Source organism: Homo sapiens, chromosome 1 (assembly GCF_000001405.40).
Source record: "Homo sapiens chromosome 1, GRCh38.p14 Primary Assembly".
Taxonomy (NCBI): Eukaryota; Metazoa; Chordata; class Mammalia; order Primates; family Hominidae; genus Homo; species Homo sapiens.
In genome coordinates this window covers 248,288,961-248,306,692 of record NC_000001.11, presented here as the reverse complement: position 1 = coordinate 248,306,692, position 17,732 = coordinate 248,288,961, and the positions used below count along the sequence as shown (strand labels likewise).

Below are 17,732 nucleotides of genomic sequence, written 5' to 3'. Positions count from 1 at the left end.
CTCCAGTCCTCAGGGCGGCTCCAGTCCTCAGGGGGCTCCAGTCCTCAGGCGGCTCCTGTCCTCAGGCGGCTCCAGTCCTCAGGGGGCTCCAGTCCTCAGGGGGTTCCAGTCCTCAGGCGGCTCCAGTCCTCAGGGCGGCTCCAGTCCTCAGGGCGGCTCCAGTCCTCAGGCGGCTCCAGTCCTCAGGGCGGCTCCAGTCCTCAGGGGGCTCCAGTCCTCAGGCGGCTCCTGTCCTCAGGGGGTTCCAGTCCTCAGGCGGCTCCAGCACCCGCGACCCGCCTGGCTCCGTCTGAGTCCGTGGTTAGGCTCCCTCCATCCCTGCGTTCCCTGGCCTCCCTCTCCTGTTGTTTTCCCCAGATTCACCCCAGCACGGCCCCATGGCGCAAGGAGACCCGCTGGAAAGGAAGCATTTGAACTCCAGAAGCACAGGACTTGCGACTTTCAGCCTTTGCGCCCATCTCTGCGCCACCAGCCCCGCAGAAGTAGCTGGGAATGGAGCTGTCCCCATCCAGAGACATCTCCAGGCTCACCACGGAGCAAATTCTGTGCAGAAGAAGAGAATAAACGCATGCGGAACAGAAGGCGTTTTAGAAACTAGTTTCCAACCGACAGATCCACCTCGTACTTCTGATGCACGGTCACATGCATTTCTCCTCAAAGGACTTCATCTATAACATCCTCACCATTAAATAAAGACAGGCCTTGTCTACTCTAGGGCAGGATGAGTAGGTCTGTGAACGTTTTCTGAAAGAATGTGATGAGAAAATTCGAGAGGAGCATGAAGAAATCAAACACAAAACTGGCAGAACAGGATGAGGCATTTGTGAAGTTCACGCTTGGGGAAATAATGTGACGCTCTGGCGCTGGCTCTTACGTTTCATGACTCACACATTCTGCATTTGCCGTTGCCTTATTCCTGCTGACTTATTGCAAAGGGTCCCAATTTTGTCCTGACACAATGCCAGGATCCCTCGGTGAATACAGGTTTTTGCAAGCTTTTGACAATGGCAACCACTCTCAGGCCCTAGCAACTGGTTTGGGACATTTCCCCGATCTCAGCACCACTTAATGTGGACCTTTGCTACCTATATTAATACAGTTTTGGCTCCTTATTTTAATATGTTTGAAAAGGATTAAAGGGGGATATTCTAAAACATATCCTTCGCTCGTTGTGTAAATAAAACTAGAATGACAATGCAGAGGAAGTTAGTGTGATTTTAATTGTGTGCTACAACCAGTACATAACCAGTTATTACAAATTGAGAATGTAATTCCAGGACAATCTGAAGCAAATAGCCTGCAATTCTTCTTGAGAAATAGTGAAGGAGGAAGCCATTTCTGTATTCCAGGACTTCTTGGGCATTCAGAATGGGTTTGTGATTTTTTTAAGTGTTTTATTTATTCTATCAGTCTTTTAAACACATGTTTATTGCTGCATTTTTCCAGTATATTATTATTTTACCTCTTCTGTAGTACTGGAATTTAGTAGAAAGAATAAAACATTTACTCCCCCTCAAAAAGAAAGAAAGAAGTGAGAGCACAAAAAATATAGGTTTCTGTTATCTCTAGAGGCAAAGAACAAATAACATACATTCAGGTTATGTGCACACAGACTTCTACTAATTTCTAATATTTCATTTATTATTTTATTTTTATATTTTATATTTTATTTTTGAGATGGTGTCTTGCTCAGTGACCCAGGCTGGAATGCCATGGCGTGATCTCAACTCATTGCAACGTCCACCTCTCAAGTTGAAGTGATTCTCCTGCCTTAGCCTCTCAAGTAGCTGGGATTACAGGCCTGTGCCACCACACCAGCAAATTTTTGTATTTTCTGTCGTGACAGGGTTTCACCATATTGGCCAGGCTAGTATCAAACTCCTGACCTCAAGTGATCTGCCCACCTCGGCCTCTCAAAGTGCTGAGATTACAGGCATGAGGATCCGTGCATGGCCTGTAATATTTTATTTTAAGCTGGTGATGGGTACATTGGTGTTTAATTTGTTTTATACATTATCTTCCACTGAAATATTTCTAATGATACAAATTAGCTATCATTGTAATTCAGGCTATGATTAATTTAAGGAAAACAACACAATTATATCAGTAAAAGCAGGATATCATTCAAAACAATTCACTGAACATTTATTGAACAAAGCATTGGTAAAAGATAAAATGGGATTTTGTTAATGTGCTTAATCTGTCTACCTAAGCCTCAGACAAACACTATATCTAATGGAGAACCATAATTGCTAAAGGCTTAAGGTAGTCAATATTATTCTTCAACATTTCAATAATATATATTTTAAGCAATGAAGAATGGAAAATAGATAAAATTGGAAAGAGATCTAAAGTTGTTTCAACCATTGTATATAATATTTTTCTCTGCAATAAGGAATACAAAAATAAACATAGCATTCTTGGATTCATGGTCTATAAGCAACAATTAATAGATTTCTATATATTAACAAAAAGAAATAGAAGAAATAATACACACAATATTCCATACACTCAAGCAACAAAATATACCCATGAACATTTCTATTTTATAATAACAATTTTTACGGAAAATATATACACTAGTTTTAAGGGATAGAAAACATATAAAGGAACATACAAATAGAATTAGAATTACGTAGGGAACCTCAAGATGTTAAAAGTGCCAATTCTACCCAAGCATATCTTGCTTTGACAATGGAGCAGAAGGAACAGTGAAGAGAAGCCATAGAAGAGGAATGATATTAGCTCTGAACGCCCTGACTGCCATTCTCTAGCTCTGACACTTCAAATTACATAAACTTCTGCCCTTAGTTTCATAATGCAAAAAAATGAGGATATAATTAAAGATAATATATAATAATATATACATGTGTCTAATAGAGGTATCTGACATACACAATGGTTGTGGGTAATATGTGAGCTTACAAACACTTTTTAACTGCAGTGCCAGTTATACAGAAAGCACTTGATGTGTCTCACCTCATCATGTGAGAGAGAGGGAGAAGTTTCAGAAAGTTCACACTAACCTACAGGGAAAGGGACATAATTATCTTTGTAGTATTTTCAAGAAAAGGAAGCTAATTCGGCTTCATGTCCTAGGAGAGGAGATAGAAGGTAATACAAACTTTCATAATTAAAGACAAGGGAATGGATTCCACAAGGGCTAAAAATTTAAGTTTTTGTCTTTTCATTCATTTGTCAATAACCATAAAGATTCCAACTGTATATTAGGTGCTTTTTTCCTGGTGATGGAAACATAAAAACATGTAAGATATTTATATGTTTTTGCCTTTTTAGGAAACTACAATCTCATTGAAAATATACACTATTCAGATCAGTACTAAGAGGTAAGTTAACCAAGCACAAGCAAGACTGTGTATAAGCTAGTGCCGAAATTTCTGCTGAACGTGGTGATGATTAATTTCATTTCTTAATCATTTTTGGTCTGAGAATTTTATGAATTTTATTCTATTTTATCTGTACAATATGACTTTGAGAAATGTGGTACAACCTGAAGCAGAAGGAGTGGTTACCTGCCTCAGCTTATCAATGTGAAAGATGGGATAAAATCTATAATTTTTGTTTTGATATGTCCTGGCATTCTAGAGTTGAAAAAGATATTGATAGTGAATGGGAGTCAGAGGAGAAACGTAGCAGATGAGAACAGGACATGATTTGAAAGTTTTGGCCACATTCTCTTTTCTTTAAATAATTGTAGCTCATGCAGGATGAGAATCCCTAAACCAAAAATCGAATATCCAAAATCAGAACCATTTAGAGTACTGACATGAGACTGTGTCACTCTTGCTTTCTGATGGTTCAGTGTACACAGACTTTCTCCCTTACACAAAATTATTTTAAAATATGGCATAAAATTACATTCAGGCTATGTGTATAAGGTATACATAGAATATAAGTTAATTTTGTCTCTCCTTTGGGTTCCATTCTCAGGACATCTCCTTATACATATGCAAATATTTCAAAGTGTTAAAAAATCTGCAATCTGCAACACATCTGGTCCCAAGCATTTTGGATAAAGAATCCTCAACCTGTATTAATGAATGTTTCCATTTGTCATGTGCTCCTCCAAGACATTTACACCTATTATTTAAATATGTTTTTAAACTTGGAATATACAAAAATGTTTATTTACAACAAATATGTTGGATATACATTTTGTAAAATGCTTTAAAATATTACCAGTGCTTTCGAAACACAGCTTAACTCTCTCTGATCATGTAAACTTTCAGCCAATTTTGTAGATAATCATTATTGCAGTGTTGCTGTGCTTTATAATAGATTTATGTATATATGTTTAAATTACTCATAATAGGATTCATGAAGTCATTCCCTGTGATCTACTTTGTTCATTCAACATTCTATTTGTGAAACTCATCAATGCTACTTCTTGTAGTTATGCTTATAAATTCCATTTTTAGTGCATATGCAGGTTGCATTTTATTATTACAAATAAAATTGCTATGATCATTATTGCCAATATGAGAGATTTGTTGCTTTGTTTTGTTTTGTTTCCTGATCATTCCTACTGCAAAAGGGTAACGTCATTTTAGCAACCTCGGTGGACTACACAGTGGATTACACATGCTGTCTGACATTATTTCACATAAGGCTTCACTTCTTTTTTTTTTTTTTATCAAGTTCTGGCCTCTCAATGTCTCCTTTCCATCATCTCACTCAGTGCCTTCTCAATTTCTCATCCAGATTTTCATGGTTTCTGTGTTACTATTGCTCTGGCCTGTGCACAGTATCACAGTGTCATAAAATCTGACCATGATTTTCAAGAATTTTGTGTTACAATATATTGCTCTGCGCATGTGCACAGTATCACAGTGTAATGAAATCTGATGACTCCTCTTGCAGACATGATGAGGTTAATACATAAAAAAGACATTTAAAAAAACTGAACGTATGCACCATCTTTTTACAAAATGACGGAATTTATTACAACAGAAACAATGTAGATTAGATAAAATAAATAAAATTAGAAGCATAAAATTTCAACTAAGGGAAAAATACTTGGTAGGCAACGTCTAATGCAGAGTTCAAAATATTTTACCTCATTACATGAATACCTTTAGTACAGTATTGAAACTCAAAATGTTCTGCTTTTTTTGGCAGTGAAGAGTCCTGGATAACTTGGAGTTGCAATGATATTTCACCACAGATCCATTTTTATAGGAATATATACAAATACCTCTTGGAATCCCAATGTTATCTTCACTGCATTTTCAGATTGTTTATATCCTGGATAACTTACACTGAGCTTCAGGATTGGGTCTCATATTCCTGGTGCCTAAAGGTAAGCACAATTTCTCATATGTATCTTACTTACTTAGAAGGAATGTCAAATTTCTCGTTAGAAACAACATTATTTTTCTTTATAGAATTTTATTGAATAAATGTTCACATGGATCTTAATATAGAAGGCATAGGGCAATCTAGTGCTCAGTATTTTCAATTTTATCACTTATAAACTGTTATAAATTTGTGATATATCTTGCCACATTCTCTGTGACAGGATGAAATCAATGAAGTCAATTTTAGCATGTGGGTATGAAGGGAATTTTGAGGCAATGAAGGGAGGTGAAAAAATACAACACAAATAAGAGTGCATTTATATAAATTCAGCCTAAACTAATGTGATGGAGACAATTCAGAGGGATATGTAGATTTACATTTGTAATCAATTTTGTTTTAATGCTGCATCATTCAATGGAATGTAAAACATATGGTAGAAATGTCTAAGTGATCAAGTAGAATTAATCACCATTTTATCTCAACTTAGTGACTTGGAAGTAGTGTTTCCCAAATGTAAAGAACACTTTGCCAACTGAAAAAGAAGCATAGGGAGAAGCGAACTTGACCACATAGCTTCCTTCTTGCAAGGAAGCTCATAGCAAGACTCACTTAAAGACAAATTATGGTGGAAATCTGAGGTAATACCGTTTTATTTGGATAAATTGTGTATTACAACAGTTGACAAGATCCAGATAACTGGGACAGCTATGGTATGATGGTCAAAATAGGTGGTTCCATAAAGTAAGTTGAGATGAGTTATTTTCTTGAAGTGAATTCCGCTCATAAGCACTGGAAATTATTGAGGCAATACAATGTATTTTCCCAATTTTCCTTAAAAGCCCACCTCTTCTTGAGGTTAACACAATGGCACCCTGAGGTGGGAAACCCACAACACTAAAGATCCCAGAAATGCCCATTTCTCATTCTCAAGACATTGACTGAACCTAGATCTCAGATACCAATAATCAGGTTTATCCAAGTTCTTGATTTGTTTTAAAACCAGAAAGGGAGGAGGTTGAGACCTGTTTCTCTCTTCATGATGATTGACAAAAATGATTTGCCTACTATCATGTGATCGAAGACACAAATTTAATCTCCATTTCTAGTATTGTGCTGGTCACATGCTGACTGAAGCTGAATTTCTCTATCAATTTATCTGTAAAAGACTTCTGATGTTATAGGAACTATCTGTTTGCTTTGGAGACATATTCTTTTTGGAAAAACTCGATCACATATTAGACATCGTTTTTCTATTTTTTTAATTTTATTATTATTATACTTTAAGTTTTAGGGTACATGTGCACAATGTGCACATGCTATTAATTTCCCTCTACATACTGCTTTGAATGTGTCCCAGAGATCCTGGTATATTGTGTCTTTGTTCTTGTTGGTTTCAAAGAACATCTTTATTTCTGCCTTCATTTCGTTATGTACCCAGTAGTCATTCAGGAGCAGGTTGTTCAGTTTCCATGTAGTTGGGCGGTTTTGAGTGAGTTTCTTAATCCTGCGTTCTAGTTTGATTGCACCGTGGTCTGAGAGACAGTTTGTTATAATTTCTGTTCTTTTAGATTTGCGGAGGAGAGCTTTACTTCCAACTATGTGGTCAATTTTGGAATAGGTGTGGTGTGGTGCTGAAAAAAATGTATATTCTGTTGATTTGGGGTGGAGAGTTCTGTAGATGTCTATTAGGTCCGCTTGGTGCAGAGCTGAGTTCAATTCCTGGGTATCCTTGTTAAATTTCTGTCTCGTTGATCTGTCTAATGTTGACAGTGGGTGTTGAAGTCTTCCATTATTATTGTGTGGGAGTCTAAGTCTGTTTGTAGGTCACTCAGGATTTGCTTTATGAATCTGGATGCTCCTGTATTGGGTGCATATATATTTAGGATAGTTAGCTCTTCTTGTTGAATTCATCCCTTTACCATTATGTGATGGCCTTCTTTGTCTCTTTTGATCTTTGTTGGTTTAAAGTCTGTTTTATCAGAGACTAGGATTGCAACCCCTGCCTTTTTTTGTTTTCCATTTGCTTGGTAGATCTTCCTCCATCCTTTTATTTTGAGCCTATGTGTGTCTCTGCACGTGAGACGGGTTTCCTGAACACAGCACACTGATGGGTCTTGACTCTTTATCCAATGTGCCAGTCTGTGTCTTTTAATTGGAGCATTTAGCCCATTTACATTTAAAGTTAATATTGTTATGTGTGAATTTGATCCTGTCATTATGATGTTAGCTGGTTATTTTGCTCGTTAGTTGATGCAGTTTCCTCCTAGCCTTGATGGTCTTTACAATTTGGCATGATTTTGTGGTGGCTGGTACCCGTTGTTCCTTTCCATGTTTAGTGCTTCCTTCAGGAGCTCTTTTAGGGCAGGCCTGGTGGTGACAAAATCTGTCAGCATTTGCTTGTCTGTAAAGTATTTTATTTCTCCTTCACTTATGAAGCTTAGTTTGGCTAGATATGAAATTCTGGGTTGAAAATTCAAAAGCTAGCAGAAGGCAAGAAATAACTAAAATCAGAGCAGAACTGAAGGAAATAGAGGCACAAAAAACCCTTCAAAAAATTAATGAATCCAGGAGCTGGTTTTTTGAAAGGATCAACAAAATTGATAGACCGCTAGCATGACTAATAAAGAAAAAAAGAGAGAAGAATCAAATAGACGCAATAAAAAATGATAAAGGGGATATCACCACCGATCCCACAGAAATACAAACTACCATCAGAGAATACTACAAACACCTCTACGCAAATAAACTAGAAAATCTAGAAGAAATGGATAAATTCCTCGACACATACACCCTCCCAAGACTAAACCAGGAAGAAGTTGAATCTCTGAATAGACCAATAACAGGAGCTGAAATTGTGGCAATAATCAATAGCTTACCCACCAAAAAGAGTCCAGGACCAGAAGGATTCACAGGCAAATTCTACCAGAGGTACAAGGAGGAACTTGTACCATTCCTTCTGAAACTATTCCAATCAACAGAAAAAGAGGGAATCCTCCCTAACTCATTTTATGAGGCCAGCATCATCCTGATACCAAAGCCGGGCAGAGACACAACCAAAAAAGAGAATTTTAGACCAATACCCTTGATGAACATTGATGCAAAAATCCTCAATAAAATACTGGCAAACCAAATCCAGCAACTCATCAAAAAGCTTATCCACCATGATCAAGTGGGCTTCATCGCTGGGATGCAAGGCTGGTTCAATATAAGCAAATCAATAAATGTAATCCAGCATATAAACAGAGCCAAAGACAAAAACCACATGATTATGTCAATAGATGCAGAAAAGGCCTTTGACAAATTTCAACAACGCTTCACGCTAAAAACTCTCAATAAATTAGGTATTGATGGGACATATCTCAAAATAATAAGAGCTATCTATGACAAACCCACAGCCAATATCATACTGAATGGGCAAAAACTGGAAGCATTCCCTTTGAAAACTGGCACAAGACAGGGATGCCCTCTCTCACCACTCCTATTCAACATAGTGTTGGAAGTTCTGGCCAGGGCAATTAGGCAGGACAAGGAAATAAAGGGTATTCAATTAGGAAAAGAGGAAGTCAAATTGTCCCTGTTTGCGGATGACATGATTGTATATCTAGAAAACCCCATTGTCTCAGCCCAAAATCTCCTTAAGCTGATAAGCAACTTCAGCAAAGTCTCAGGATACAAAATCAATGTACAAAAATCACAAGCATTCTTATACACCAATAACAGACAGAGAGCCAAATCATGAGTAAACTCCCATTCACAATTGCTTCAAAGAGAATAAAATACCTAGGAATCCAAGTTACAAGGGACGTGAAGGACCTCTTTAAGGAGAACTGCAAACCACTGCTCAATGAAATAAAAGAGGTTACAAACAAATGGAAGAACATTCCATGCTCATGGGTAGGAAGAATCAATATCGTGAAAATGGCCATACTGCCCAAGGTAATTTATAGATTCAATGCCATCCCCATCAAGGTACCAATGACTTTCTTCACAGAATTGGAAAAAACTACTTTAAAGTTCATATGGAACCAAAAAAGAGCCCACATCACCAAGTCAATCCTAAGCGAAAAGAACAAAGCTGGAGGCATCACGCTACCTGACTTCAAACTATACTACAAGGCTACAGTAACCAAAACAGCAAGGTACTGGTACCAAAACAGAGATATAGATCAATGGAACAGAACAGAGCCCTCAGAAATAACGCTGCATATCTACAACTATCTGATCTTTGACCAACCTGAGAAAAACAAGCAATGGGGAGAGGATTCCCTATTTAATAAATGGTGCTGGGAAAACTGGCTAGCCATATGTAGAAAGCTGAAGCTGGATCCCTTCCTTACACCTTATACAAAAATCAATTCAAGATGGATTAAAGACTTAAACGTTAGACCTAAAACCATAAAAACCCTAGAAGAAAACCTAGGCGTTACCATTGAGGACATAGGCACGGGCAAGGACTTCATGTCTAAAACACCAAAAGCAATGGCAACAAAAGACAAAATTGACAAATGGGATCTAAGTAAACTAAAGAGCTTCTGCACAGCAAAAGAAACTACCATCAGAGTGACAGGCAACCCACAAAATGGGAGAAAATTTTCGCAACCTGCTCATCTGACAAAGGGCTAATATCCAGAATCTACAATGAACTCAAACAAATTTACGAGAAAAAACAAACAACCCCATCAAAAAGTGGGCGAAGGACATGAACAGACACTTCTCAAAAGAAGACATTTATGCAGCCAAAAAACACATGAAAAAATGCTCACCATCACTGGCCATCAGAGAAATGCAAATCAAAACCACAATGAGATATCATCTCACACCAGTTAGAATGGCAATCATTAAAAAGTCAGGAAACAACAGGTGCTGGAGAGGATGTGGAGAAATAGGAACACTTTTACACTGTTGGTGGGGCTGTAAACTCGTTCAACCATTGTGGAAGTTAGTGTGGCAATTCCTCAGGGATCTAGAACTAGAAATACCATTTGACCCAGCCATCCCATTACTGGGTATATACCCAAAGGTCTATAAATCATGGTGCTATAAAGAAACATGCACACATATGTTTATTGCGGCACTATTCACAATAGCAAAGACTTGGAACCAACCCAAATGTCCAACAATGATAGACTGGATTAAGAAAATGTGGCACATATACACCATGGAATACTATGCAGCCATAAAAAAGGATGAGTTCATGTCCTTTGTAGAGACATGGATGAAATTGGAAATCATCATTCTCAGTAAACTATTGCAAGGACAAAAAACCAAACACCGGGTATTCTCACTCATAGGTGGGAACTGAACAATGAGAACACATGGACACAGGAAGGGGAACATCACACTCTCGGGACTGTTGTGGGGTTGGGGGAGGGGGGAGGGATAGCACTGGGAGATACACCTAATGCTAGATGAGGAGTTAGTGGGTGCAGCGCACCAGCATGTCACATGTATACATATGTAACTAACCTGCACATTGTGCACATGTACCCTAAAACTTAAAGTATAATTAAAAAAATAACAAAACTAAAAAAAAAATTTTTATTCATTTTGATCTGTAAATATACTCCTGTTTGTAGTACATGATCTCAGTTAGAACATTAAAAAGTTGAGCTATAGAGAAGTGAATGCCAGGTCAGGAAAAGCTGTGCCTACTGGGAGTCAGGGCTTTGAATCACGACCTGGGATAACATATCCAGTACATATGTCCAGAAACTGTGCAGTCAAACAGTTATTCAGACCATAAAAGCCTCTTCTTTCTCTATTTTTCCATTTGCACCATCACACCAGGGGAAATTATGGAGATGAGAAATACTACCCCAGATTTTATTCTCCTAGGACTCTTTAACCACACCAGAGCCCACCAAGTCCTCTTCATGATGCTTCTGGCCACCGTTTTGACCTCCCTGTTTAGCAATGCCCTCATGATTCTCCTGATTCACTGGGACCACCGGCTCCACAGGCCCATGTACTTCCTCCTGAGCCAACTTTCCCTCATGGACATGATGCTGGTTTCCACCACTGTGCCCAAAATGGCGGCTGACTACTTGACCGGAAATAAGGCCATCTCCCGCGCTGGCTGTGGTGTGCAGATCTTCTTCCTCCCCACACTGGGTGGTGGAGAGTGCTTCCTCTTAGCAGCCATGGCCTATGACCGCTATGCGGCTGTCTGCCACCCACTCCGATATCCCACTCTCATGAGCTGGCAGCTGTGCCTGAGGATGACCATGTCGTCCTGGCTCCTGGGTGCAGCTGACGGCCTCCTGCAGGCTGTTGCTACCCTGAGCTTCCCATATTGCGGTGCACACGAGATCGATCACTTCTTCTGCGAGGCCCCCGTGTTGGTGCGTTTGGCTTGTGCTGACACTTCAGTCTTCGAAAACGCCATGTACATCTGCTGTGTGTTAATGCTCCTGGTCCCCTTTTCCCTCATCCTGTCCTCCTATGGTCTCATCCTCGCTGCTGTTCTGCTCATGCGCTCTACAGAAGCCCGCAAGAAGGCCTTTGCCACCTGCTCTTCACATGTGGCTGTGGTGGGACTCTTTTATGGAGCTGGCATTTTTACCTATATGAGACCCAAATCCCACAGGTCCACTAACCACGATAAGGTTGTGTCAGCCTTCTATACTATGTTCACCCCTTTACTAAATCCCCTCATCTACAGTGTGAGGAACAGTGAGGTCAAGGAAGCCCTGAAACGGTGGCTGGGGACGTGTGTAAACCTAAAACACCAGCAAAATGAGGCCCACAGGTCAAGATGATCTAGTGTCAGATGAGTCTAAGTTCCTGAATTTATTAACATTTTAACACTATGTAATTCTCTCCCTTTAGTAATTCATGAAGAGAAAATTAAGTTTGTGTATTGATATAATAAGATATTTTTAAGAATGAAGTGAGCCAATTGTATTGACAGATACCATTTTTGAGCATTTATGTACTTTTCTTCAAGTGAAGTAATACCTATAGATTACTTTGTATCCTACAACAACCCCATGATATAAGTTTTCTTTTTTTCTTTTGCAAACTCCAAATCTTTAAAAGGTGTCCCAAATTTTTCATCAAAAATATCTCTACTTACCTATGCCTTGGGAGAAGTAAGGTAACCCAATAATGTATAAGGTTGTTGAGTGTTACTCAATTTCCTACTATCTGAAAAAAGAAATTAACACATGGAAAGTTAAATATGGTTCCTAATTTCACATAGAACAGAAATATTAAAAAGTGACTCCAAAGCTTGTACCCTAACCTGGAAGAGTTTATTTCTGTTCAATAATGTATTTTGAGTGTTATTTCCCATGTGTATGCTCTACAATTAAAAACTAAATATGAGGACTCCACCAAAGACAAATAACATTATTTTTAAGTTATATTTTAAAATATAGATGCATGACAAAAGGGGAAGTACACAACTCAAATGTAACTGCTATATTGTCACAATCTTTTTTTATTTTTTCCAGTCTCTTTTTATTTGGTGTTTTAAGGCAAACTTTTTTAAATTCATGTAATTTTTTATATAAGTAATATTTATCTTTTCCAAGAGCGTCATTGTAATTGCATTGGAAAATTGTTTTAAACTACAAATAAGTTCTCTTTTCTACACGTGCTTTAAGGTTACCTTGACTTATTGACATACCTCCATCGATATGAACTCTGAATTGCATGATCATGCTGAATCTTGACAGTTACTAACAATGAGTTATCAAAGCTGAGTAAGACTCAACAACCTTATACATTATTGGGTTACCTTACTTCTCCCAAGGCATAGGTAAGTAGAGATATTTCTGATGAAAAATTTGGGACACATTTTAAAGATTTGGAGTTTGCAGAAGAATAAAAGAAGACTATACTATTATTAAAGACACAAGATAGATAGTGATGGAGGAAAGCAGTGGTTATCAAAGCCAAATTGTAATCAGAGACTGGATATCAAATTGTCTTAGAGAGTTTTATGATAAAGGCTATATTTCCCATATGTAAAACACACTTAAGAAATAATATAAGTTTTTAACACGAAGGAGGAAATAACTAAGAGCTTCCAGGGACAATGTATCTTCAATATAAGTGTCTGAAAGTTAACCCGCCATTTCAGACCAACCTGAATTTCAAAAGGTAACTGTTCTAGAACAAGTGAAAGGAGTTTCCTGCTTCATCTAGATCTTCAGGTTCCAAAGCAGTAATATAGTTAAGATAGTACCTTAACCACTGCATGCAGATCCTGAGCCCATGTCTTAAGAGAAGGCTATTCAGTAAACTCTTGTCTCCTTGGAAGACTTGAGGATGACAGGAGAGAGTGTCATCTGTTTAAGACTAAGAGTTTCCTACTCTTGTTAATTAATCTCCTTACCCAGTGTTAGAGTGAGAAAGGAACAGAACTGCACAAATTCTGTCATTATACCATCTAAAAAATCTTCTCTTAGAATGGGTGAAAATTACACAAGTACATGTAGTCGTGGAAATTTCATTACTCATACCAGGTTCATGCACCATCAGAGAAATTATTTTAGAACACGTTGAGTTACAAATGGTAAACTAAGCCTTTAAAATTTTGTAAGGATAAAATATTCTAACCAGAAAATTAAGCCTAATGTTCAGGAGAAAACTAAAACAACAACAACAACAAAACCACGGAATGAACATTATCTCCAAGCAAACGTAAGACATTAATAAAAACACAAAATATGTATAAAAATAGACATGTTTCAAAGAAGTGGTATTTCAGACTAGTTATCTGATCACAATGAAAATAAATATGAAATAAAAATTTTAAATACTTTTAGAAATTATATGTTCATTTCTTATTGCTTTTGTAACTTGCAGATGTTTCTACTCTTATTTTCTTAATAAAGGTTTGCATAGAAAATCTTCAAAATCTTCAAAATGACAGGTTAACTTTCAGACACTTATATTGAAGATACATTGTCTCTGGAAGCTTTTAGTTATTTCCCATTGTGTGTTTGAAAATGAGAAGATATGGTTCTTATGAATCTCTAAAGTTAAAGAAGGAGTACCTGATAGAGACAGAGTATACAAGAGCATGAATGGTAGAAACAAAATTTTGAATGAGGAGTTACTTCGAACATATGAAGCTCTAGCACCCAGTAACACAGAATCAAGATGAGGCTTTGAACTAATCTTGGATATTACCTGCTATCTTCAATCATTCTGGCTCTTTCCTTTACACTGCCTATATATTCTCTTTAATGTGTAATTTTTAAGTCATTAAGAAACATAATGTTGTGGCTCCGACTAGAATTTATTCATCTTCTGCTGTGCAGAAGCTATTTAGTTTAATTATATCCCATTTGTCAATTTTGGCTTTTGTTGCCATTGCTTTGGTGTTTTAGTCATGAAGTCTTTGCCCATGCCTATGTCCTGAATGGTACTGCCTAGGTTTTCTTCTAGGGTTTTTATGGTTTTATGTTTTATGTTTAAGTCTTCATCTTGAGTGATTTTTTGTATAAAGTTGAAGGAAGGGGTCCAGTTTCAGTTTTCTCCATATGGCTAGCCAGTTTTCCCAACATCATTTATTAAATAGGGAATCCTTTCCCCATTGCTTGTTTTTGTCAGGTTTGTCAAAGAAGAGATGGTTGTATGGCATGAATTCTGAGGCCTCTGTTCTGTTTATTGGTCTATATATCTGTTTTGGTACCAGTACCATGCTGTTTTGGTTACTGTAGCCTTGTAGTAAAGTTTGAAGTAAGGTAGCATGATGCCACCAGCTTTGTTCTTTTTGCTTAGGATTGTCTTGGCTAAATGGGCTCTTTATTGATTCCATATGAAATTTAAAGTATTTTTTTCTAATTCTGTGAAGAAAGTCTATGGTAGCTTGATGGGGATAGCACTGAATGTATTAATTACTTTGGGCACTATGGTTTTTTTCATGGTATTGATTCTTCCTATCCATGAGCATGGAATATTTTTTCATTTGTTTGTGTCCTCTCTTATTTCCTTGAGCAGTGGTTTGTAGTTCTCCTTGAAGAGGTCCTTCATATCCTTTATAAGTTGTATTCCTAGGTGTTTTATTCCCTTTGTAGCAATTCTGAATGGGAATTCACTCATGATTTGGCTCTCTGTCTATTATTGGTGTATGGGAAAGCTTGTGATTTTTACACATTGATATTGTATCCTGAGACTTTGCTGAAGTTGCTTATCAGCTTAAGGAGATTTTGAGCTGAGATGATGGGGTGTTCTAAATATGCAATCATGTAATCTGCAAACAGAGGCAGTTTGACTTCCTCTCTTCCTTTGGATTCATCAGAGTAAACAGGCAACTTAGAGAATGGGAGAAAATTTTTGCAATCTATCCATCTGACAAATGGCTAATATCAAGAATCTACAAGGAACTTAAACATATTTATAAGAAAAAAAAAACAACCCCATCAAAAAGTGGGCAAAGTATATGAACAGACATTTCTCAAACGAAGACATTTATGTGGCCAAGAAATATATGAAAAAAAGCTCATCATCACTGGTCCTTATAGAAATGCAAATCGAAACCACAGTGAGATACCATGTCACATCAGTTAGAATGGCAATTATTAAAAAGTCACCAACATGGCACATGTATACATATGTAACAAACCTGCACATTGTGCACATGTACCCTAAAACTTAAAGTATAATAAAATAAAGTAAAAAAAGTCAGGAAACAACAGACGCTGGCACGTATGCGGAGAAATAGCAACGCTTTTACCATGTTGTTTTGGGAGTGTAAATTAGTTCAACCATTGTGGAAGACAGTGTGGTGATTCCTCAAGGATCTAGAACTAGAAATGCCATTTGACCCAGAAATCCCATTTCTGGGTATATACCCAAAGGATTTTAAATCATTCCACTAAAAAGACACATGCACACATATGTTTATTGCAGTTATTCCCAATAGTAAATATGTGAATCCAACCCAAAAGCCCATCAATGATAGACTGGCTAAAGTAGCTGTGGCACATATACACCACAAATACTATACAGCCATTGGAAAGGATGAGTTTATGTCCTTTGCAGGGACATGGATGAAACTGGAGACCATCATTCCCAGGAAACTAACACAGGAACAGAAAACCAAACACCGCATGTTCTCATTCATAAGTGGAATTAAATAGGGAATCCTTTCCCCATTGCTTGTTTTTGTCAGGGTTGTCAAAGAACAGATGGTTGTATGGCATTAATTCTGAGGCCTCTTTTCTGTTTATGAGGCCTCTGTTCATGAACAATGAGAATACATGGACACAGGGAGGGAAACATCACACATTGGGACCTTTTGGGGGGTGGGGGGCTACAGGAGGTACAGCATTAGGAGAAATACCTAATGTAGATGACGGGTTGATGGGTGCAGCAAACCACCATGGCACGTGTGTACCTATGTAACAAACCCGCACGTTCTGCACATGTAACCCAGAACTTAAAGTATAATTTTAATAAATTAAAATAAATACCTAATACAATAAAAAAGAATTCATTCATCTTCAATGTGCAATTGATTTACATTAATACAGATTTATTTAATACAGTTAATGCAAATCTTAATTGTACAACTGATAATTTTTTTACATATGTAAAAAATCGTATGTATCTGTGTAACTACAACAAAGATCATCTAGTACCCTTTATGTCTTCCTTTTGTCTCTTCCAAGTCAATACCTTCACAAAGGAAATCATTATTCTAACATACTGGTGGGGAGGGAGAGCTGACTCTTCTTGCTGATTTGTTAAGAATTTTTTATGCATGTTGGATATCAATATTTTGCCCAATATCTTCCAATGTGTGGCTTGCATCTCTTTCATAATGGAGATGTTTTATGAGCAGAAAGTTTTAGTTGTATGAAGATAAATTCATCAATCTTTTATTTCATGGTTTTTCTTTTGGTGTTCTTTAAGAAATCTTGGTCTAACCCAAGACATAAAGATAGTCTACTATGCTAACGTTGTAATTCTTTTCCAATTAGTTCGTGCATATATGTTGTTGGATCATTACATACTGACCCAGCATCATTTATTGAAAAGGCCTCAGTGGCAGATTAGGTATTATTATTAATTATGTATCGATGTGGGGCAATTAATAGACTGGCCATTTTTTTAATTATACTTTAAGTTTTAGGGTACATGTGCGCAATGTGCAGGTTTGTTACATATGTATACATGTGCCATGTTGGTGTGCTGCACCCATTAACTGGTCTGCCATTTTTACCCTTTGTCTATATTTCTATTACTGAACAGATACCACAGTATATTAATTTCTGTAGCCTTATAAAACGTTTTGATATTAGGTAGAATAATCATCCTATCTTGTTTTTTTTTCTTTATTTTTGTTTTCAAGTTTTCCTGTTTTTGATTCTTTGCATTCCTGTAGAAATTTTAGACTCTGCTTTTAATTTCACAAACAAAACTTCTGTAATTTTAAAACTGAGATTCAGTAAGTA

The 17,732-nt window shown here is 37.3% G+C and overlaps 1 protein-coding gene across 1 annotated transcript; it reads left to right on the top strand.

The window, feature by feature from the left end:
- Window positions 1-3,268: 3,268 nt before the first annotated feature.
- On the top strand, window positions 3,269-16,554 carry OR2T12 (olfactory receptor family 2 subfamily T member 12). Its single transcript, NM_001004692.2, has 3 exons — window positions 3,269-3,347; window positions 5,140-5,320; window positions 11,107-16,554. Exon 3 carries the CDS (start codon window positions 11,115-11,117, stop codon window positions 12,075-12,077), a length of 963 nt encoding a protein of 320 aa, NP_001004692.1. The 5' UTR covers window positions 3,269-3,347; window positions 5,140-5,320; window positions 11,107-11,114; the 3' UTR covers window positions 12,078-16,554.
- The last annotated feature ends 1,178 nt before the right edge of the window (window positions 16,555-17,732 follow it).